The following is a 23244-nucleotide window of genomic DNA, read 5'->3' on the forward strand; positions in this document are numbered from 1 at the left end:
AAAAATGAAAATAATTTAAATATCCAAAAGGGTTAAATTTTTGCAAAACTATATAAAGGAATAGTTTAGACCTATCAAATTATGATTTCAAATAAATTTTTAATGATATGAGAAAATGCTTAAAGTATGTTATTAGAAAAAGTTTAAGAAATAATAAAATTTGGAAGTAATATAATATATACATAGCACTTACGCCAGGCACTATTACATATATTAATTCATTCTATCCCCCAACAACCAGTAAGACAGGCACTATTCTTATTTCCATTTTACAGATAGGTAAACTAAGCCACAAAAAAATTAAATGATTTTCCAAGAACCACAACTAGTGACAAAGTGAACACCTGAACCCAACAGTATAGCTCCACAATGCCTGCTCTTAACGATCAGCATATGACAGAAAGGGATAAATGGGATGGAAAGAGAAGAGGAATAGCTATGGGAAAAAACATCAAAGCTTTAACAGACATTGTACATGGGTTGTAGGATTAATGGTCATTTATTTTCTTCTGGTTTCCGTATTTTCCAAATTTTTCTAAGTTTTATTTCCAAAAGTAATATAAGCATATTTATTTTTTATAAATAAAAAATTTATTTTTAAATTAAGACAAACTAATATGTGTTTCAAAGAACACATGAATTGACCAATAGATAGGGGAAGTTTTAAGAACCGACTTTTCCCGAGAAAAGAAATAAATATAACATTATTTGGAAGAAGAAGAGAGCAAGCAAGACAAAAAGATGTAAGAATCAAAGAATACTGTATTCAGGAACTGAGTTAGATGAAGTCCTAGATGGAAGGCTAAGATGCATCTATAAATTAATGCAAAAATAAAAAACAAAAGATGTCTGAAAAGAAAAAAACAGGTACAGTAATTTCCAAAAATAACCGGGAATTTGAAAGTTTTTCAAAGTAGAAAGTACCCTTTCCTCCAAAACATATGATAGCATTTGCAGAAATATCAATCCTGTTGCCACATAGGTTTCTTGCATTTTATTTTTTTAGCAAACAAAAATCAAACAGCAAACCTTTCCTAGATTATTGGGAACCAAAACTTAAAGTCTTTTTTTTTTTTTTGAGACGGAGTCTCGCTCTTTCACCCAGGCCTGACTGCAGTGGCGCAATCTCAGCTCACTGCAAGCTCCGCCTCCTGGGTTCACGCCATTCTCCTGCCTCAGCCCCCCTCCCGCCGCCTCCGAGTACAGGCACCCGCCACCGCGCCCGGCTGATTTTTTGTATTTTTAGTAGAGACGGGGTTTCACCGTGTTAGCCAGGATGGTCTCGATCTCCTAACCTCGTGATCCGCCCGCCTCGGCCTCCCAAAGTGCTGGGATTACAGGCGTGAGCCACGGCGCCCGGCCCTTAAAGTCTTACAGCTTCTGCTGCCTCACAAGAAAGTCTGGACACAGCCAAGCTTTCTATTGTGCAGAATAGTCTTTAAACTTTTCGGGTTAACAGATAAACTGTTACAACTATGTGGGAAATGATATAATAGGGGGTAGTGGATAATCATAATAATATGAATTTAGCATATATTTCATAATTGGCCAAATCTTAAACTGAAAAGATCAGTACATTCAGGGAAAAGGGGATCAGTTATTATTCAAAAGAGAAAAATATTAAATCCTGTATCAAACATGACTTAACCCATGCAAAATACTGTCCACTTCATTTACTTCTAATTCTGAATACAAATGTAATATAAGTCATGCATATAAAACACAAGATGTCTGACTTTAGATATATCTAAAAATCAAGAATTGTAAAATGAAAGAACAGCAAAAAAAAAATGCTGCTTAAATTTTCACAAATTTTCAGTTACACAAAGCCTTTAACTTAATTCTTTCCAACTACATTGATTTTCAACCATGATTATATTTTAACTTATTTTCTGATTCTAAAAGTGATGCATGTTCACTTTTATTAACATGTTTATAAACATATATGATTTCTGTTATTGTTACCTTTACACTACAGCAATCATTCTTTAAGAGGATTTACAACCTACTTATGTCACTTTAACATACTTCATGGTACTTTCCAGGTCATTATTCTGTCTAAATATAGTTAATGACCACACGGTATTCCTTCATACGGATGTAACACAGGTTGATATACCAACCCTTTATTTTAACCAAGCCAAAATACTTACATCATCCAAAAGCAGCATGAAGACAGAAATACTAGGAATTCATTTCATTATTAATGAAATTTGGTAGTATCATCTATCCTTCAGATTGCATGGAAGTATTTGAGAGGATGATTAAAAATCTTAAAGGAATTTAAAAGCAAAAAACATACCAACTATACTATCAAAAAATGCTCCACGTAGATGCCAATCATTCTTATCATTTAGGAAAGTAATCATGTGGGACAACAAAACATCGTTGGCTTTCTGACGTCCAAAGAATACACACAGCCGTGTTATTCCATTTTCCATCAAGGTTTGTTTTACAATATTTTCAGGGTCACTTAGCAAAGTAACAACTTTCTGCTGGACCATTTCATGTAAGGCTTGGAGCTCTAAAAAAAAAAAAAAAAGAAAGAAAGAAAGAAAGAAAAGAAATAGTTAAGAAAAGATCAATTTTTCCCCATACAGATAGTCCCAGTCTTCTTTCTTACTCATCAGAGAGACTGATTACAGAATCCACCGAAGACTTTAATCACCAATTTTTTGCATTATTCAAAGCTCTGAAGGATGGGAAACTGAAATATAAAGTGAAGAATATCCTAACAAGCAGATGCCACAAACATAGTTACTATCTCACTAATCAAATAGTTTCATTTATTAGCTCAAGGAGAAAATTATAGAGAAGCACCAGAAAGGAAATCACATTGCCCCAGTAAGATCCCAGTTAATCAAGGACTTGAAAATAATGGAATAGGATTAGGATATAATATGATGGTACTGAGCAATCCTTTTAGAAAATGTTTTTAAAGGTCAGTTTATTTTAGAAAGCCAGAAAACACACTGCAAGTTCTGTCAAGGCTTTACTTCATCTGGCCACTGTCTTCTCTGGTCTTACCTCTTCTCTTCCTCATCCTCACTTTTTCTCACTTATTTATTTACTTAGCTGCCTGTCTTCTTTTTACTAAAATGTAAGCTCAAGAGCAAGGATCGTTTCTATCGTATTCACCACCATGCTCTAGTGCTTAGGGCAGGCTCCTAATTGCCTGATGCAGAGCTAATCTTTAACAATTATCTGTGAATAAACAGAAGACAGGGGCCACTCTTGGTCCAGCTACTACTGTCAAGGAAAAAGGTAACTGGTCTGACATGCAAAACTATATGCTCACATTAAGAAAAACTTTAGATTCCCTCCCCAAAAATTTTACCATTTAACTTTATTATCTCAACAGGTCCAATTACATGGTTATAGGACAGTATTATTTTCCAAGTAATTCCATAAAAAAAGGCTAGGACTTCCTGATACATCCTCCTATAACTTCAAAATTATTCCACTGTATTCAACTCTAGATAATACATGTTGTCTAAAAATGGTGCCATTCTAACAAGTAACAATTGTAGTTGTTTGCAGCATAAAATTCTAAAAAACTAGATTTCTCTAGTTTTTCACAACTAGAAGCATCTTGGAGAAAATTACATCTATTACTTTACTTCTAAATCTTTTACTCAACAAACATTAAGTAAAAATCTGTAAAGAGTTGTATAACACAAAGAAACCTAAGACAAGGACTTTGACATCAATAAGTTTACCATCATCACATCTGTTCCTTTATGGTTTTTTGTAAATAACAAATAGTATGAAATAAAAACAATTTATGATTGAGGATACTCAGAATATACTCACGTAAGGAGAAAAGGTTTAGCTTCTTTAGCTATGATGTTTCTAATTTTTTCTTTTATGAGAATTATATAATTCAGCCAGCTTTACTGTTCACACAAATCAATTCTGGCTGACAAACAATTGACTTTAGTATCCATGGTGACAAGCTGATTATTTTTGAGCAAGATAACAGTATATGAGGATAGAGAGAATAATTAGACACCAGGGACTCTTCCTATCTAATATATAGATCTGGTATTCCTTCACCTTACATGAAAACTACAAATGATAGTTTTACAAGTTAGCATCAGCAATTCATTCTAAATAACAGGAAATCTGGAAGAGAAAATTATACAACCTGTGTCATAATTTCCATTTGGATGTGTAACCTCATCTATTTCTTCATTATTGGGGTCATTTTCCATATTAAGATTTTTTAACTGTACTAATTCCAGGAATCTCAGAGCTGTTTCTGCCAGCAGAGCTATGTTTTCTATAAAATAAAAAGGAAGAAAATTTATAATTACAATCTTAACTCTCTGTAAAGCTTATTAACTTTTCCTCCCTGTCTTTATACATAAATAATCATAAGCCTATGGGAAAAACAGAACTTTTCAATTTAGCATTTAACTTAATCAGATTTTAGTAACCCAGCTCATAATCTGTAACTGTCTCCAAACCACTAGTCTTATTTTTGAAACACAGCTTAAAAAAATAATAATATAAAAATAATCTAATACCTCATCTACTGAGGACCAAAAAAAAAAAAAAGCCTAATTCTCTGCAGGGACTTACCTTTTAAACAGTATCCTTGACAAGTGAGAGATATTTATTAGACTAACAAAGAAACATCCACATTAAAATAACAGATAAAGCTAAGCTTTGGCATCAGAAAGACCTGGGTTCAAATCTCAACCTTGCCACTTACTAACTTGACCATTTAAGCAATCTGAGACTGTTTCTTCACATATAAATGAAAAGTCACAACTGCCTCAAAGAGAAACCATTGTTAGACTGCTTTACAAGTGATACTCAAGTTCTTAGTGAACCAAAGTGGCAGACTGTTTGCACATTTCTACAGTTGTCTATATCTTCTCCTTTCTCTTTCTGATGACCTACAAAGACTGTCTGATATTCCTCACCACTACAAAATAACTACTTCTAATTTCTGCTGTCACATTTACTATCAATTGTATCTGCTCTTCACTTACACTTTCTTCTCCTACCTTGCCTCCCACTTAACATATGTGTTTCTTAACATATGATCACAACCGGTCAAAGACTGTACTCTTTTCCTTCTTAGCAGTGAATAGCACTGAACGTAAAGTTTAACTACCTTAAACTTAAAATAACCTTACTTTTTCCTTGCTTTCCAACATCTCTGAAATCAAAATGTACCTTATGGCAGTTGAGATCTTTGAGTCAATCAAACACAATTATTCCCTTCATCCTGGGTCCCACTCCCCACCCCTGCTAGGTTCAACAATGCTCTGAATAGAATAAAAATTTACCTCTAAGTAAGCAAGATGTAAATACCCTATAACGCCTGCTCGCCCTAAAAATGGAAAAACTCTGGGCCATATCCTGATAATATGTCAAAATTCTAGATGAATATCCCCACTTTAATGAGCAAATCTTTATTAGGAAAAGTCTCTTACTTTCCTGGGCACCTCTAAAGTCTGAGTAGATCTATGCTTATTTCCCCTTTTAAGTCCATAAACCACAGCACACTTGGAAGTTCACTTTACACAAATCTGTACCAGCATCTATGATATTTAAAAAATACTGTAAAGAAACAAATGTTGATTTTAAACTTTTATAATTACTGACACATGTATTTTAATTATATTTAACCATACACATTCAAATACACTGGCTCTATTTTAAAAGACCGCAAATTAGCCAGGCGTGGTGGCACACACCTATAGTGCTTGGAAGGCTACGTTTGGAGGATGGCTTGAGCCTGGGAAGTCAAAGCTGCAGTGAGCCATGATCTCCCCACTGCATTCCAGCCTGGGTGATCACATACTGGGCCTTGAAGAAATAACAATGCAAGGTGCTGGCACTGACCCTGGGTTATCACGGACTCTCACCATAAAGACCCAGAAGACCAAAGAAAAGCAGGATTGCTTCAAAACCAAGGTGTAGAGCAGGAGCTCTGAGAACTGAGAATTAGACCGGATACATTTGGGTCATGTTATTTAGTCTCTCCTAACCCCAGTTTCCTCACCTGTCATATGAAGGTAATATAACATCTAACGCTCAAGGTTGTTGCAGCTAACCCTTACAACAACCTAGAGCAGATTTTTCAATAAACAGTAGCTATTATTTTTATGTGATAGCTATTAGTAACTGAGTGTCAATATGTTAATATGGCACCTCATCAGAACATGACCCGTTTAACACAATTGAGAACAGATTAAGATACACTGCACCAAAAAGTAGGATCATAAAATTCTGGTAAAGAAGACAGAGCTTGTTTTTAAAACTGATAAACTTTCATTTGATTTGATTTTATCTGGTTCAATTATTTAATTTATATTTGCCAAGTGAGTTACAACTATGCTTTGTTATAAATGATAAACTTTGATGTGTCTTAAGAGAAATCCTGGATTTCTGGGCCTGAAGTTCATACCTGTATGGTTATAGAAACCATAAATAAATAAATAGGCAGAGATAAACATAAATAAAAATATATGTATGAGGAAACATAAAAACACGTAACAATCACCAATCACTTTGTGGGTGTGCCTAGAGATAAGACCAGAGTCCAAAGACCACTTTTCACATGTTTCATTAAAATAATGACAAGCAAATCATAAAATGAATGAACTACATTTCTTTAAAAAAAAAAAAAGACAATATCATTACCACACACGTACTATTTACAAAGACTTCAAAACAGAATCCCTGATTTCTATCAGATTATATTATAGAAATAAATTATATATATTCAGTGATATTATATATATTCAGTGATATTTCTCATGCAGAAATAAGCTTTCAGAATTAATTTGGGGAGCTAGAAACAAGAATCTGTATCACCTGATTTTGAGTGAGACAGGCAAAACAGGTAGGTGTGTATAACACACCCACCTCATCATAAAGAAGATGTATATCCTAAACAGTACAGTAACTGGGAAAACAACCTTAAACTTCAGTAAGTTAGTATGCTAGGTTCTTTCAACATCAAATTATCTAGCAAAATTAATCTTTTTCAGCAGCAATAGATTGTTGTATGCTAAAACTGACAGTCAAATAACCATATTTGTCAGAGAAACTTCATAAAGGCCTAAAGACACTAGATCAGAAGCACATACTTGTAAACATTAGTCTTATTCCAAGTCGAATGTAGTATTCCTAAGAAAACCACAAAATTCCATCACTTGATAATTCTGATCATTTCAAAAGTGAGAGAACACACAAACGTTGATTCCCAGGAACAGAGTAACTAGAAATATTATCAAAATGTACACAAATAGTTCAAAGAGCAAAGTTCATACTTGCAATTCTCAAACAAATCAGAAAAACAAGCAGTATTATAGTCATTAACTTAAAAAATATCTAAGTGGCTAATATTTGGACAATAAACTCTTACCAGCATAGGCTAGTCTAACGATAGTAGCATCATCTTGGGCTAAGTGGGCTATGCCTGGCAGAATGTATTCCGGATAAATATTGATATCATTACGAGGAACCTCTTTGACGAGAGCAAGAACTTTGGTCAACGTCCTCAAGGCTTCAGCCCTCACCCTAGGAACAGAGTCATTGCTGAAATGCAAAAGATATGGAGTAATACGATCCAAAAGGATTTCAACACTTAATCTTGGAGCCAAATGAAGAATCAGTTCCAAAGCAGCTAGTTTGGAATCACAGTATTTAAGGGTCTGTAGGCAGGATGTTATAACAGATACCAAGATAACCAGCCCATTTTCCTTAGGCTCTCCTTCGGCTTTTTCTGGCAGATCATGTCCACAGAGATTGTGAATAATGTTGCCCAAATCCTTCCGTATAACCAGAATACGCTCATCTGCAGAAAGAAACGTTTCCTTGGCAAACTGGGCCATGTAGGGCTGAAGAAAAGTGTAAAATATTTCAGGAAAGGCATTGCCACGCTGCTGTTTTAAGTAATCTTCTGCCTCTAAACGTTTATCTGGCTCACGGTGAATCATCTGAGTTACCTATACCAAGGGAAGAAAAGGAATTAAAATAGATTTGAGAATAGAAAAGTAAACCAGATGAAAGCTACAAAGGCAATTTACATACGATTTAAAGGATCTTTCAGAACCTGACTGCTAAGTGATTTGTGACTCCATCATCCTAGAAAGCAGTAAAAAATTATATACAAATATATTACAGATGGCCCTGACACATAAAGAGGAGGTTATACCATGGCTCAGTATTCCCCATTTATTAAAATAGGGACTAATATATTGCTGTCCACAACTCAAAGATTCTTACAAACTTTTCTAAGTAGGAGATACCACTAAGAATCTGAGGAAAGCAATGGATCTCTTCCAGAGAAAAATGTATACACACAATTTTTGCATTAAAAAACACATACAATTCTGGAAGGAATCACAGAACCCCTAAAATCCATTTACATATCCCGGGTTGAGTTATGGTTCAGAACCTTATTGCCACAAGTGCAAAGGAATCTGTGGTTTAAGTATAGCTCTAGGATCTAATCAGTAGGGGAATCAGTGGCTTAAAGTTTTCAAATAGTGTCAAAGAGATGTTAAATTCTGCAAACACTAGAAATGATACACCTAATTTGAATTTATCCTATGGTTTTCTAGTATCATAGGGAAATAAATATTTTTCAATGCACAGAACATAGTTTAATCTTTCTGGGACACTCATAGGGTATCAGTCATTATTGAAATACAATATCACAAAATGTATTGAGTTATCTGAACTTTCTGTTTACAGTTTAAATAAGAGCTTAGTAGTGAACATGGGGGACTCAAATGTACTAAAAGAAAATGTTAACTAGTTAGAATTGCTTTTAGTTTGGACTAGGCCCTAAAAATTAAACAAATTCACTTCTTTCGCAGTTCAGAAAATGTATGCCCAAAGACATGAAGTTATATAACCAAAGCAACGTAACAAGTATGTGCCATACCCAAAGACAGAACACTACACCAACTCCTCATCCAGTGCACTGTTCAATAAATATGGCCTCAACTGGCTTCCTCTGAAGCACCTTATTTTTTAATATTTGACATACTTAAGAGAAATTAAAATGTATTACATATCTCCCTACATAATTAAAGAATATTCTAAACACACCACAATCTTTTCCATGACTCAGAGTCATCACCACAATATCAGTTACCCTATAACTGACTTAGAAAAGATGCCCTCAAACAATAATGTAGCTATGTGGCTTACGTGATCCCCCACACGACTCCTCACGCCCATTCTGCTATACTAATTTGTGCTTCTGTAGCTGCCTTTCCAGAACTGCCCTCAGCTTCATATATTAATACAAAGCTATTTGCTTCTATATGCAATGGCCCTGTATTGCTGTATTACATTCAAGTTGACATTTCCTGTCCCCTCCATTTCAAATGTCTGTCTTCTTCATTTCTTACTAGCAAGCTCTAGCCAGGACAACCTCTCCAACCCCTAGAAACTACCTTACCTCCTTCCAAATCTGTAAAAAGCACACTGAAGATTATAGTGGGAAAATAGATAATAAATAGATTTTTTTTAAGTCAAATGAGCTCTGTGCCTGAAGGGGAAAAAAACAGTACATTCTTCCCTAACAAAGTAATAACAAAAGGCTGTTTATATTAGTCTATGGTGTTTTACTGCTTGATTCCAAATTTACAACATTCCAGAAATCTGATTAAAGCAAAAGTGGGAACTAGATCCTATTAAAAACTTTATGGCGAATATTTGTAGCATAGTTACCAATTCTCTGATACTGTGATCTTCAATTTTATTTAGCACTTGTTCAGGGAAAAAATGTCCATTTCTATAAGCCAAAAGTTGAGAGAGATCAAATAATGGTACACCTTCTGTAAAAAGCTCAGCTATCACACAACCTGAAAAATAGCAGGTATAATTCTGTTAGAAAAGAGATAAAAAATATCATGCAATATAGATTGAGAACTCAGACAGTTCATAAAACCCAAAATGCAAAACCCCAAAGTAAATGAAATTAAAAATTTTAATGCAACATACAACTACAATCAAGCTGACAGGGAAAATGTCTATTACCCGAACACTGGTTTCTAAAGTATAAAGTCAAAGAAGAGCCATACAATTTTTCTCCCTCTTAAAAAAACTTAAATAATTCCCCCGTTCTGTAATTTAAAATGAATGTATAGGCCAGATGTGGTGGCTCACACCTGTAATCCCAGCACTTTGGGAGGCCAAGGCCAGCAGATCATCTGATGTCAGGAGTTCGAGACCAGCCTGGTCAACATGATGAAAGCCCGTCTCTATCAAAAATACAAAAATTAGCTGGGCATGGTGGCACACACCTGTGGTCCCAGCTACTTGGGAGGCTGAGGCACAAGAATCACTTAAACCCAGGAGATGAGGTAGAGAGAGGCAGAGGCTGCAATGAGCCAAGATCGTGCCATTGCACTCCAGCCTGGATGACAGAGTGAGACTCCATCTCAAAAAAATAAAATAAAATAAAATAAAATGAATGTATATATGTAATATATACAATTTACATAGAGTGATAAAACAAGAAACTTTTTTTTTCAAGTATGGACTTACAGACATTAGATTCATAAGGAATTACTACTACAAAGTCATATCCGACAAATCATTTATTCATCATTAAACAGAAAGTTTATGCCCTAGGCACAAGCAGTACATAAAGCAGATAAAATCCTTGCCCTCATGAAGCTTTCATTCTAGGAAGGAAGACAGAAAATAAAGCAGTGAACAAACATAATATGTGAAATGCTAAAAAGTGTAGCTGTAAGATTAGGGAGAGGAAAAGAGAGATAACTCTCGTTTTGCACTTATATAATCTTCAAACCAGAAATTTTGTAAGTATCCACATTTCCAAAAGGACAACACAGTTTAACTGAAATCATTACATGACAGGCATTTAACAAGTCTAAAGAGATCCTTAAATAACCTCACCTCACAGCCTGTGCATTTGCTACTCCCTCTACCTAGAATGCTATTCCCCCAAGGATCCATGTGGCTTATACCTCCACCTCCTTCAGATCTTCAGGTGCTCAAATGTCACTCAGCAGTAATGCCTTTCTTGATTGCCGGTTTAAAACTGCAGGCCCCACTACCACAACTACCGCCACACCCCTCACCGGACACATTCCCTTTTCCCTTTCCTTACTGTTTTTCCCCCATAGCAACAACTTCCAGGTTATATTTTATGTACAGATGCTGCTCTATTTACAATGGGGTTAGATCCCAATAAATCAACGAAAAGTTAAAAATATTGAACGGTGGCTCATGCCTGTAATCCCACCACTTTGGGAGGCCAAGGCAGGTAGATCACTTGAGGTCAGGAGTTCGAGACCAGCCTGGCCAACACAGTGAAACCCTATCTCTACTGAAAATACAAAAAATAGCCGGGTGTGGTGGTGCACGTTTGTAATTCCAGCTACTTGGGAGGCTGAGACAGGAAAATCGCTTGAACCTGGGAGGCAGAGTTTGCAGTAAGCAGAGATCGGGCCACTACACTCCAGCCTGGGCAACAGAGCCAGACTCTGTCTCAAAAAAAGAAAAGAGAAAGAAAAAGAAATGGATTTAATACATCTAACCTGCTGAATTTTCCAGCTTAGCTTACCTTAAACATGATCAGAACACTTCCATTAGCCTACATTTGGGCAAACACATCTAACTCAAAGCCTATTTCACAATAAAGTGATTCATCTCACGTAATTTATTGAATACTGAACTGAAAGTGAAAAACAGAATGATTGTATGGGTGCTCCAAATACATTTCAACTGAATGTGTATCACTTTTGCACCATGGTAAAATCAAAAAATCATAAGCTGAACCATTGCAAAGTGGGGACAGTCTCTATGTTTCTTCTTGTCTACATGCCCACTAGAACGCAATTTACATGAGGAAGGGATTTTTCTATTTTTCTCTATTCATTGAAAAATCTCCAGCAACTAAGTTCCTAACACATAATAAACACTCAATAAATTTGTTAATTTCTCTCTGTATAGTGTCACATTTTAGAATGAAGGACTTCGAAAAACAGCTATTAAAAACACCATAAGCAACAAGGAAACAGAGGACCCGAAAAATACAATTAAAATTAACCAGCTAATGTAAGTAAGTTTCTGAGCAAGTTTAAGGTAGGGTAAGCTATGAAGTTCAATAAGTTAGGTGTATTAAATGCATTTTCTATTTATGATATTTTCAACTTCTAATCAGTTTACTGGGATGTAACTCCGTTGTAAGTTGAGGAACATAAGCACATAAAATATAATCTAGAAGTTGGTGCTGAGGCGAAAAAAACAGTAGGGAAAAACACCAACTGGATCTAACAGATATCGACAGAACACTCCACCCAACAAAAGCAGAGTACAACACACACACACTACATATATTGCCTGGCTTTGTCAGCTGTAAGAGCAAAGTGTCAAAGACAATCTAATGGCAACGAGCACTAGATAGAGGCTTCTAATATAATTCACTACACACTAAAAGAATTAGGCTTCCTTAATGGCTGGTTTGAGCACTAAGGCAGGGTAAGTACGGTATCTTATATCAAAAAGTAAAGAAATGCTTAAAAAAAAAAAAAAAGATGAGGACTGTCACAAGGACACAGGAATCAGCCTGAGAAGGCTCCTTCTCCCACTGGCCAAATCTGAGACAACTGGTGCACCAATATAATTAACAAGGTAATAAATATATACAACTGAAAAAAATTAAGAATTAGTCTATACCAATAATAAATAAATAAATAAATGGGGCAAAACAGAGGATCCTTGAGTACAGCAGAATGCTGAGGTCCTACTGTTGAATGTGGAGGACGTATTTGAGTGGAAAAATCATTTTTGCAACCATCATAACAAAAATTCAATCAGGCAAGAATCATCAATGGATGCCAAATGTCAAGCGATAAACCGTGGTAATGGGCAGGATATTAGCACACCTTTTTTTGTTTGTTTTTTTGTTTTGTTTTGTTTTTTTGAGACGGAGTCTCACTCTTTCACCCAGGCCGGACTGCAGTGGCGCTATCTCAGCTCACTGCAAGCTCCGCCTCCCTGGTTCACGCCATTCTCCTGCCTCAGCCTCCCGAGTAGCTGGGACTACAGGCGCCTGCCACCGCGCCCAGCTAATTTTTTGTATTTTTAGTAGAGACGGGGTTTCACCGTGTTAGCCAAGATGGTCTCGATCTCCTGACCTCGTGATCCACCCATCTTGGCCTCCCAAAGTGCTGGGATTACAGGCGTGAGCGACCGCGCTGGCCTTTTGTTTGTTTTTTGATACAAGGTCTCACTCTGTCACCCAGCCTGGAGTGCAGTGGTGTGATCACAGTTCACTGTAGCCTGGACCTCCTGGGCTCAGGTGATCCTCCCATCTCAGCTTCCCGGGTAGCTGGGACTACAGGTGTACACCACCACGCCCAACTAATTTTTTACATTTTTTGTAGAGACAGGGTTTCACCATATTGTCCAGGCTGGTCTTGAACTCCCAGGCTCAAGAATCTGCCCACCTCAGCCTCCCAAAGTGCTGGGATTACAAGTTTGAGCCACCACACCAAGCATATTTGCACATCTTAAAACTCTTCCCACAGGTTATTAGTTGCAAGGGATTGAAAAAAAATAAAAAACTATAGAGGGGAGACAATTTGGGAAGACTTTGACCAGATGATTAAAATTAACATCACAAACAACCATCATTTGTTTACAGATGTGACCCTGTGAAAATCCATCACCATCTATGCAGTATTCCTACTAAGTTATAACATAAATCTTATCATGAGGAAACATTAGACAAACTCAAAATGAGAAACATCCTATCAAAAAACAAAGGAGTGGGTGACATAGAGAATGCATGTAAAAGCTGGTGAAAACTGAGTAAGGGCTATACTCTAGTTAACAGTAATGCACCTATGGCAACTCCTGATTCTGATATGGTACAACAGTCATAAAAGGTCATCATTGGGGGAAGCTGGGTGAAGGATACATCACTATTCTTGCAACTTCCTTTGATTCTACAATAATTTCAAACTAAAATGTATAAAAATGATTTTGAAAAATTAAGTGGGGGGAGGCATTCTTCAAAAAATGGCAATGTGATAATAACAAAAGAAAAAAAGGCTGTAGAAATATTAAAGGAGGCTAAAGAGATATGACAACTAAATGTAATACCTGAACCCTAAACAAGGTCCTGTCCTGAAACAGGCAAAATGCTATAAGAGACATTATTGGGTCAAATACAAAATTAGAATAAAAAGTGTAATTACTGTATCAATGTTAAAATTACTGCAGCCATTAACTATATTGTGTTTTGTAACAGACTATACCTCATCTTAGAAAACACTGAAGGCCGGGCACAGTGGCTCATACCTGTAATCCCAGCACTCAGGGAGGCCAAGGGGGCGCGGATCACTTGAGGCCAGAAGTTTAAGACCAGCCTGGCCAACATGGAGAAACCCTGTCTCTACTAAAAATACAAAAAAATTAGCCAGGCATGGTGGCACATGCCTGCAATCCCAGCTACTCAGGAGGCAGCAGCATGATACCCAGGAGGTGGAAGTTGCAATGAGCCAAGATCGCGCCACTGCACTCCAGCCTGGGTGACAGAGCAAGACTCTGTCTCAAAAAATAAAAATAAATAAAAAGTAAAAAATACACACTGAAATGTTTCAGGGTAAAGGGCCATAATATATGTAACTTATTTCATAAGGTTAGGGAAAAAATGGGGCGTGAGGAAGAAGAAAACGATACCAATGATACAGCAACCAGGGCAAAATGTTAACAATAGGTGAATCTGGGTAAAGTGTATATGGGTGTTCCTTTGTTCTATTTTTATTTTTGCAAGTTTAAAAGTCTGTAAGTTTTTAAGGCTTTCAAGTTTGAAATTACAGTATTTCCAAATAAAGTCAGAAAAAAACACAGTGACATATGACTATTTATAACTAAATGGAGGTTTTATTGACTGAATTGTGTGTCAAGTGCCCCCTGCCTCCCCTCCTGCAAGTTCATATGTTTAATCTCCATACCTTAGAATCTAAGTGTATTTGTAGGCAGAGCCTTTAAGGAGTTAATTAGGGTTAAAGAGGTAATAAGGGTGTGCCCTTAATCCAATATGACTGGCGTGCTTATAAGAAAGGACACCATGTATGCTCATTCACAGAGAAAAACCCATGAGGACACAGCCAGAAGATGGCTATCTGCAAGCCAAGGAAAGAGGTCTCAGAAGAAACCAACCCTGTTAGCTTGATCTTGGACTTCCAGCCCCCAGAACTGAGAGAAAATAAATCTTGTTTCAGCCACCATCTCTATGGTATTTTGTTATGGCATCCCTAACAAACTAATGCAGCAGTGAATTCATATTTATTTTCTCAAAACTTTTACGATTTTATTCTGAAAGATGTTATTGGGTGGTATTTCCCTGTGGAACAACTTGTTTAAATCGTCACTATCATCACTGAGTCTGTATCATTCAAATCTCAGCTCAAATGTTACCTTCATCAGAGAGGCCTTCCCTGACCATTTTATCTTAAAGTAGTGCCCTACCAGCCTTTTCAATATCATTCTGCTTGGCTATAACACATCACTAACCAAAATTAACTTTCTTATTTACTTGTTTATTCTATCTCTCTCCCCACTAGAATGAAAGCTCCATAATGGCAAAAGCTTAGTCAACTGTATTCCTGGCACCTACGTAACAATGGCTTGCACATAATATGCTCAAATGCATGTCAAAATGAATGAAAGATCTGCAGCACACAAGGCTATGCCTATGTACTGGACCAGAGGCAGAATATATATGGTAAGTCCTCAACGGTATCGATGGGTTCTTGGAAACTGCAACTTTAAGTACAACAACGTACAACAAAACCATTTATTTTCTCACCATTTCATTATAATGAAAACGACATTATTTGATGGACCTGCTTTACACTGTTTCACTTAAAGTAGCAGTTTCCAAGAGCCTATCAAGGACGTCAGGACTCGCTGAACACTTCTCCCAAACCAGCAGCCTGGAACCATGGATATCCATCAAGAGGGGAAAGTAGCACTCAAAACCCAAACATTCAAATCTTAAGAGCACTGGGAAGTGGACAGATGCCACCCACCTCTTTTTCAAAGGAACGGAAGGGCCTACCTTCAGCCAAAACAATGTAAGGCTCTTTGGTCTGGAAAAATAAATGCTGAGTGTGAATTTTGTTGAAGTTTACAAAACTATAATGCACAAAAAAAGGATAAAAATAAGCTTATCAACCACTGAAATTTTAAACCTATGAATGATCCCCTGAAGTTTGAAAGTGACGCAATTCCTAAGCTAAAGGATTACATAACAATTAGTGAGTTTAAAATGTAAAAATGGTTCAAGAAAATTTTAATACACTGATCAACAAAACTGGAACTTTGATGGATTACATTTCTAACCTTGTTATACTGTATTTACAACCTTGAGGCTAACCCTATCTTATCAAAACATCTCTCAGTATTATCTTGGGACACAGATTAGTGAGCTGAATAGACCAACATAGGTGCAATCCTGAATAACATTATTCATTCTGGTAGATGAAATACATTCATTCATCAATTAATTTTCCTAAATAATCTAAAATTTGGCTCAATTTATGTTTTTTGTAATAAACCTACAAGCAAGAAAAAAATTAAGCCAAACCATCACAAAATTTACCAAAAATGGCACCGATGCCAGATTTCTTTTGAAGTCTATCAGAGTACCACTCTCAACACACTTCTTCCTCTCTATCCCACAAATTCTTAAATAATCTGGAATCCATAGCTCAGCTTCATGTGGTCTGTGTATGTGAAATAATATATAGGAATGAATGCATGGTACATTTTTCTGGGGAAGGAGTCCACTGATTTCATTAAATTTTTTAAGGGTATCCAAAAAAGCTTCAGAATCACTTCTGTACAACCTTTCCCTGGCTACAATTACTACCTATTTCCTGATAACTCCCAAATCTCCATCTCTATCCCAGATTTCTATGCCCAAAAATTTATAACCAACTGCTGGGTTAGGTGTGGTAGTTCATGCCTGTAATCCCAATACTTTGGAAACTTGAGGTGGGATGACAGCTTGAGCTCAGGCGTTCAGGAACATTCTGGGCAACACAGTAAAATAGTCTCTACCAAAAATGTTAAAAAAAAAAAAAGTCAACTGGGTGTGGTGGTGCACGCCTGCAGTCCCGGCTACACAAAGAAAGCTGAGGCAAGAGGATCATTGGAGTTGGAGGCTGAAGTGAGCTACAATTGCACCACTGGGCACCAACCTAGGCAACAATGTGAGATCCTACCTCTAAAAAATAATAATAAATTAAAAATAAATAAAAATATAACCAAATACATGTTGTACATCTTCTCCTGCATACTTGGCAGAAATCTCAAACTTACCATATCTTAAACAGACCTCATCATCTTCCCAACCTAACCTGTTGCTCCTCCTGTGTCTCCCTGTCTCAGGGACCAGCATCACCATCCACTCAGTTTGGTGGGCGAGAGAAGTTCCTGTGACTTCACCTTCCAATGACAGAATCCTAACAATTCTATCTACTAATTATCTCTTAAGCATTACCACTTCTCTCCACTCCTTCCAACTCTGCCACAATCTTAAGCCGGTCACAATCATCTTACCTGGACTGTGGCAGTTTTCTCCTAACTTGTTTTCCTGTCTTCTGTGTAGCTCCCCTGCAAAATTCACTCTCCATGCTCCAGTCAGGCCAGACCCTTTCTGATCTGGCTGAGTTTGGGCCTTGCTTAATTCACACTGTGTTCCAGAAAACACATCAGTGCATCATATTCTGGTCTTTAAGCTTCTGTATAGGCAACATCCTCTGCCTGAAACAAACTACTCTACGAAAGTTAACTCCCAATCAACTTTCAGGTTTCAATGTAAATATCATCTTTCTATTAAAGAGGCCTTTCTTGATCCCACCTCTTGACTCAACACCACCATGAGGACTAATTTAAATATCTATGTGTTCCTATAGCAGCACCCTATGCTTATCACCACCACAGCAATCAACACCGCATTGAAATGTCCTTTTGCAATATCCACGGTCACTTTAAAATGGAAGCATTATGAAAATATATTATCCACCAATATCCCTAGCACTTAGGACAGTGCCTGACACATACAATAAAAGTAGGCAAGCAAATATGTTTATATGTTTGTGTAAATAAACTGCTGTTTGCATTTCCTAGGCATTTAAACATATCCAATGCAGGAATGCTGCCTCTAACTGAAATAGCGTCTGAGGACAAACCAAGACATTAACTTTTCAATATCTGGTGACTAAAAAAAGCCACATTTCTGTTTAACAGTTAAAAGAAAAACACATGCTCCCTTAGCAAATGTGACCCACTCAAATACCTGCTGAAAAGATGTCCATTGCTCTCTTCAACTCTCCTCTTGTTCTCTGATTGCTATTTAAGTCTACAAGCGGAGTTGAAGGATCTCTCATATATTCTAACTCAGTGGCAAACATCCCACCATCAACAAAACGTTCAGGAGCAATATAGCAAGTTCTCCTCCGTGATGTGTCAAAGAAATAATTGAAATCTGCCGGGTTGTCTTCTGGAAGATAAGTGGGCTTAAAACTGGCAAAATCAGTTAGAAGAACCCAATTCCAACTGGTGACCATCACATTCTCAGTCTTGATGTCCCCATGACGAACTCCAGATTTGTGTGCTTGGTCCACAGCTGTCAGGATCTGGAAAGCAATCCAGCGCTTCTCAATGTTATTCAAGAATGGACGGGTACTGATGCGATCATAGAGATTGTCTCGCACATACTGCCTAAAGAGCATAGCTGCTTTCTCAGATGCTTTTTCTGATGCTTTCTGGAAAGGTAGACAATTCTGTGCAGAATTAAGCCTGATTTTCAGTTCCTCCAGCTCTTGTTTATAGCTGGTTAAAGGCAATGTGGGATCCTGAATTGCAAAAACCTTCACAACGACCAGGCCTTCTCGGTGCTTGGCTCGAGCAACTTTAAAAAACCGAGTACTCCCCAGGCTTTTATCATATTCAAAGTCATGAATATCTGAAAAATAACTCTCTACAGAAAGGATCTGGGAGGGAGCAATGCCAGCAAGCTGATTTCCCATAATGGCAAGCACCTCTGTGGTCTTTAGTAAGGTTAGGATATAATACCTGTTTAAAATAAAAACAAATGAAGAAAAAAGACAAGAAACAAAGAAGCTGTGAAACACCATTATTCCATTATTTGGTCTCTTCCAAAAAGACAGATGCAGCATACTTCTCTTCCACTAACAGCACTGTACCTAGCCTTCTGGGGCAGCCTCTAAATTTCACACACATTTATCTAAAAAGACCATGTTATTTTCTCCAAGAAGACCTTGTTATTTTACCTAAAAATACCCTGCTATTGCGCATCGCCATTTCCAGGAGCTGAACTATATTTAGATAGGCCTCTTCAACTTTAAGCCAAAAATGTTAGTTTGTGTTATTTTCTCATATTTAAATTTAAAATATTAATGAGCCTTTACTATGTGTTCCGTGCTGTGCTTGGGGCTATGAGAATTACAAAGTTACCATATGACATAGTTCTTGTCCAAGAATCTGTAGTTTCTTGGAAATAAGAAAGAGACACATTAAAAGCTTAAAACTGGCCGGGCGCGGTGGCTCACGCCTGTAATCCCAGCACTTCGGGAGGCCGAGGCGGGAGGATCACGAGGTCAGGAGCTCAAGACGGGGCTGGCCAACATGGTTAAAATCCCGTCTCTACTAAAAATACAAAAATTAGCCGGGCGTGGTAGTGGGTGCCTGTAATCCCAGCTACTCGTGAGGCTGACGCAGAATTGCTTGAACCCAGGACGCAGAGGTTGCAGTGAGTGGAGATCCCGCCACCGCACTCCAGCCTGGGTGACAGAGCGAGACTCCGTCCGTCTCAAAAAATAAAAAAAAAAAAAGAAAAACTGAAAACTGAAAAGGTCAAACTAAGATCTAAAAATTCAGTTAACTCCTGGACACTTCCTGCCTAATTCCAGTGTGCCCTCTCACCCAGCTAAAAGAAGGTGCAAACTTCGCTGGTCTGCAACAAGAAACCTTGCCACAGATGTTAAAGAAAAGCAGACCAAAGTATACACTAGCTAAACGTACCCCAGGGTTCTGCTAACTCAGGTTTTGCAGGAAATAAATGCCACACATATACACACACGACCTTGAGCACACATAAACATTTACCCTAGGCCTCGGGAAAGTGTCAAAATCGTTCAGAGGCTCACAACGAGGTCATAGTAGACTACTTCGGGGACGGGACGGGAAAACGCGTCAGCAGCGGGGAAGTTGTTTCTACGAAGGGTCTTTCTTCATAGACAGGAGATGGGCTGTTGGTGGAGGGGCGCAGAAAAGTCCCGATCTTCAGGAACCCCGGTGGTCCTGGGAGGAGAACTGGGAAAGCTCTCGGGGTCTCAGCAGAGAGAAGAAGCCACGCTAAAGAGTCTCCACAAGTACCCCGGGATTTGACCCCTCCAGCCCCCTAACCTGCCCTGGGGGACATGCGTTCCCGGGCCTCGTCTTCCTCTAGCGCGGATCGCTACACCCGTCCGAGCCCTCCTCGAGGGCCTCACCACCGGGCGGGGGGAGATGGAACCCGGGAGAGAAGTGCAGACCGCCAGTCCCAAGAAAACACTACACTTCAGCTGCTGCAGCCCCAGCAAACGCCGAACTCCCGGGAAAGCAACCGGTCTGACCTCACTTCCTGTCGCCGAGCGGAAGTGACGAAAAAGAGTGAGCCTTGAGGAATTGCCAGGGTAGGAAACCGGTTGCTAGGAAACTAGGGAAGGCGTGGTCTTACTTTGGGCGAGTCTACAGGGAGAAAATGATGCTCTGACAAAGATCTATTCCCCTTCCTGCTCTTCTACCTTTCATTCACGAACGCTGAGGTTTCTGACATCCCCTAGAATCTGCTCAGACACGCCTTCACTCCCAGGACAGCAGAACAGAGTTAAGAGAACTCAAGAATATTTAGGAAAACTAATATATCCCAAGCTGGATTTTTAGAGTTCTGGTGAGATATAACTTACATACCATAAAGTTCACCTGCTTAAAATGTACAAAGCAGTAGTTTTTAATACATCTATCGAGTTGTGCAATCATCCCTATAATCTGATTTTAATTTTTTTTTTTTTTTTTTTTTTTTTTTTTTTTTTTTTTTTTTTTTTTGAGGCTGAGTCTCGTTCTGTCGCCCAGGCTGGAGTGCAGTGGAGCGATCTCGGCTTACTGCAACCTCCACCTCCCGGGTTCAAGCGATTCTCCTGCCTCAGCCTCCCGAGTAGCTGAGACTACAGGCGCCCGCCACCACGCCCGGCTAATTTTTTTGTATTTTTAGTAGAGGCGGGGTTTCACCGTGTTAGCCAGGTTGGTCTCGATCTCCTGACCTCGTGATCCGCCTGCCTCAGCCTCCCAAAGTGTTGGGATTACAGGCGTGAGCCGCCGCGCCCGGCCTTTTTTTTTTTCTTTTGGAGACAGTCTGGCTCTGTCACCCAGGCTGGAATGCAGTGGTGCCATCTCGGCTTACTGCAAACTCCACCTCCCGGGTTCAAGCGATTCTCATGCCTCTGCCTCCAGAGTAGCTGGGACCACAGGCACGTGCCACCACGCCCAGCTAGGTTTTTGTTTTTTTTTTTTTTGAGACGGAGTCTCGCTCTTGTCGCCCAGGCTGGAGTGCAGTGGCGCGATCTCGGCTCACTGCAAGCTCCGCCTCCCGGGTTCACGCCATTCTTCTGCCTCAGCCTCCCGAGTAGCTAGGACTATAGGCGCCCGCCACCGCGCCGGGCTAATTTTTTGTATTTTTTTTTTAGTAGAGACGGGGTTTCGCCGTGGTCTCGATCTCCTGACCTCGTGATCCACCCGGCCTCTCAAAGTGCTGGGATTACAGGCGTGAGCCACCGCGCCCGGCCGCTAGTTTTTGTATTGTTTGTAGAGATGGGGTTTCACCATGTTGGCCAGGATGGTCTGGATCTCCTGACCTCAAGTGATCCGCCGCCTCGACCTCCCAAAGTGCTGGGATTACAGGTATGAGCCACCGCGCCCAGCCTGCCTGATTTTAAACATTTTCATTACCCCAAAAGGAAACCCTGAAACCATTCGGAGTCACTCCCTGTTCTCCCCCATTTCTCCTCCCCCTTCCAGCCCTAGGCAATCATTAATCTACTTTCTGTTTGTATACACTTGCCTTTTCTGGACATTTTATATATAATATGTGGTCTTTGTGACTGACTTTCACTTTGGGTAATGTTTTTGAGGATTATCCCTATTGTAGCTTGTATTAGTACTTCATTTATTTGTTGTTGCAAATAATTTTGTTTACCCTTTTGTTAGTTAATAGACATTTGAGTTGTTTTACTTTTACGTTATTATGAATAATGTTCCTATGTTCATAGCATTAGTCTATAAGTCTTTGTGTTGCCATATGTTTTCATTTCTGTTGGATAGATACTGAGGAACGAAATTGTGGGCTCATATGGTAGCTCTATGTTTAACATTTGAGAAACTGCCAAACTGTTTTCCAAAGTGCAGGCACCATTTTACATTCCCATTAGCAATATATGAGGGCTCTAATTTCTCCACATTCTTGCTGACACTGTTATTATCTTCTTTTTTTATTATCCTGGTGGCTGTTAAGTGGTATCTCATTGTTGCTTTAATTTGTATTTCCCTAATAACCAATTCCGTTAAGCATCTTTCTTATTGTGCTTGTTTTCTATTCATATATCTTCTTTGAAGAAATGTTTATGATTTGACTATTTTTTAATTGGTTTATTTGTCTTTTTATTATTGAGTTGTAAGCATTCTTTATATATTCTAGATACAAATCCCTTGTTGGAGATATTATTTGCAAATATTTTCTCTCTGTTGTCTTTTCACTTTTTTGATAGTATTCTTTGAAACACAAAATGTTTTAATCCAAAGCTGAAATCGTTATTATCCCTGCAACATTCCCTCCTCCCTTCTTCTCCATCTCAATATGCAGCACTACTACCCACTGAATTCCTCAAGACTATAAATTTGGAACTCATTAAGTCATCCTTAACATATTCCTACTCTCCCCCTCCTTCCTCACCACACTCATTCCTCCCATTCAGTGATCACTTGCTCTTGCTGATTCTATCCCCAAAATATGCCTTGAACCCATTCACTGCCATCTCAAGGCCTAGGCCAAGCAACCATCATTGTCATGATGTCTACATTTTGAAACCCACACAGAAAAGGCACTCCTCACTCCTGATATTATTTTGTATACTTCTCCCAAAATTTTTTCTGGGTCTT

At 38.4% G+C, this 23244-nt stretch overlaps 1 protein-coding gene across 1 annotated transcript in view, besides 2 other annotated features; it reads right to left on the reverse strand.

Annotated features, from left to right (window-relative positions):
• PIK3R4 (phosphoinositide-3-kinase regulatory subunit 4) overlaps positions 1–20669 on the reverse strand; it is a 67896-nt gene extending 47227 nt beyond the window's left edge. Inside the window, exons 1-6 of the mRNA NM_014602.3 lie at positions 20158–20669; positions 18326–19104; positions 9709–9842; positions 7388–7970; positions 4148–4282; positions 2303–2524 (exon numbers count right to left, since the gene is read on the reverse strand). Of these exons, the coding sequence (NP_055417.1) occupies positions 2303–2524; positions 4148–4282; positions 7388–7970; positions 9709–9842; positions 18326–19058 (1807 nt within the window). The 5' untranslated portion in view covers positions 19059–19104; positions 20158–20669. The remainder of the gene's footprint in view (positions 1–2302; positions 2525–4147; positions 4283–7387; positions 7971–9708; positions 9843–18325; positions 19105–20157) is intronic.
• Positions 20350–20409: an enhancer, noted in NCBI's record as "active region_20523". NCBI's record gives its function as "activates an Ori minimal core promoter by ATAC-STARR-seq in GM12878 lymphoblastoid cells {active_cell/tissue: GM12878}" and the evidence as "EXISTENCE:reporter gene assay evidence [ECO:0000049][PMID:35858748]".
• Positions 21644–21693: a silencer, noted in NCBI's record as "silent region_14734". NCBI's record gives its function as "represses an Ori minimal core promoter by ATAC-STARR-seq in GM12878 lymphoblastoid cells {active_cell/tissue: GM12878}" and the evidence as "EXISTENCE:reporter gene assay evidence [ECO:0000049][PMID:35858748]".

This window comes from Homo sapiens, chromosome 3 (genome assembly GCF_000001405.40).
Source record: "Homo sapiens chromosome 3, GRCh38.p14 Primary Assembly".
NCBI classification, from domain to species: domain Eukaryota; kingdom Metazoa; phylum Chordata; class Mammalia; order Primates; family Hominidae; genus Homo; species Homo sapiens.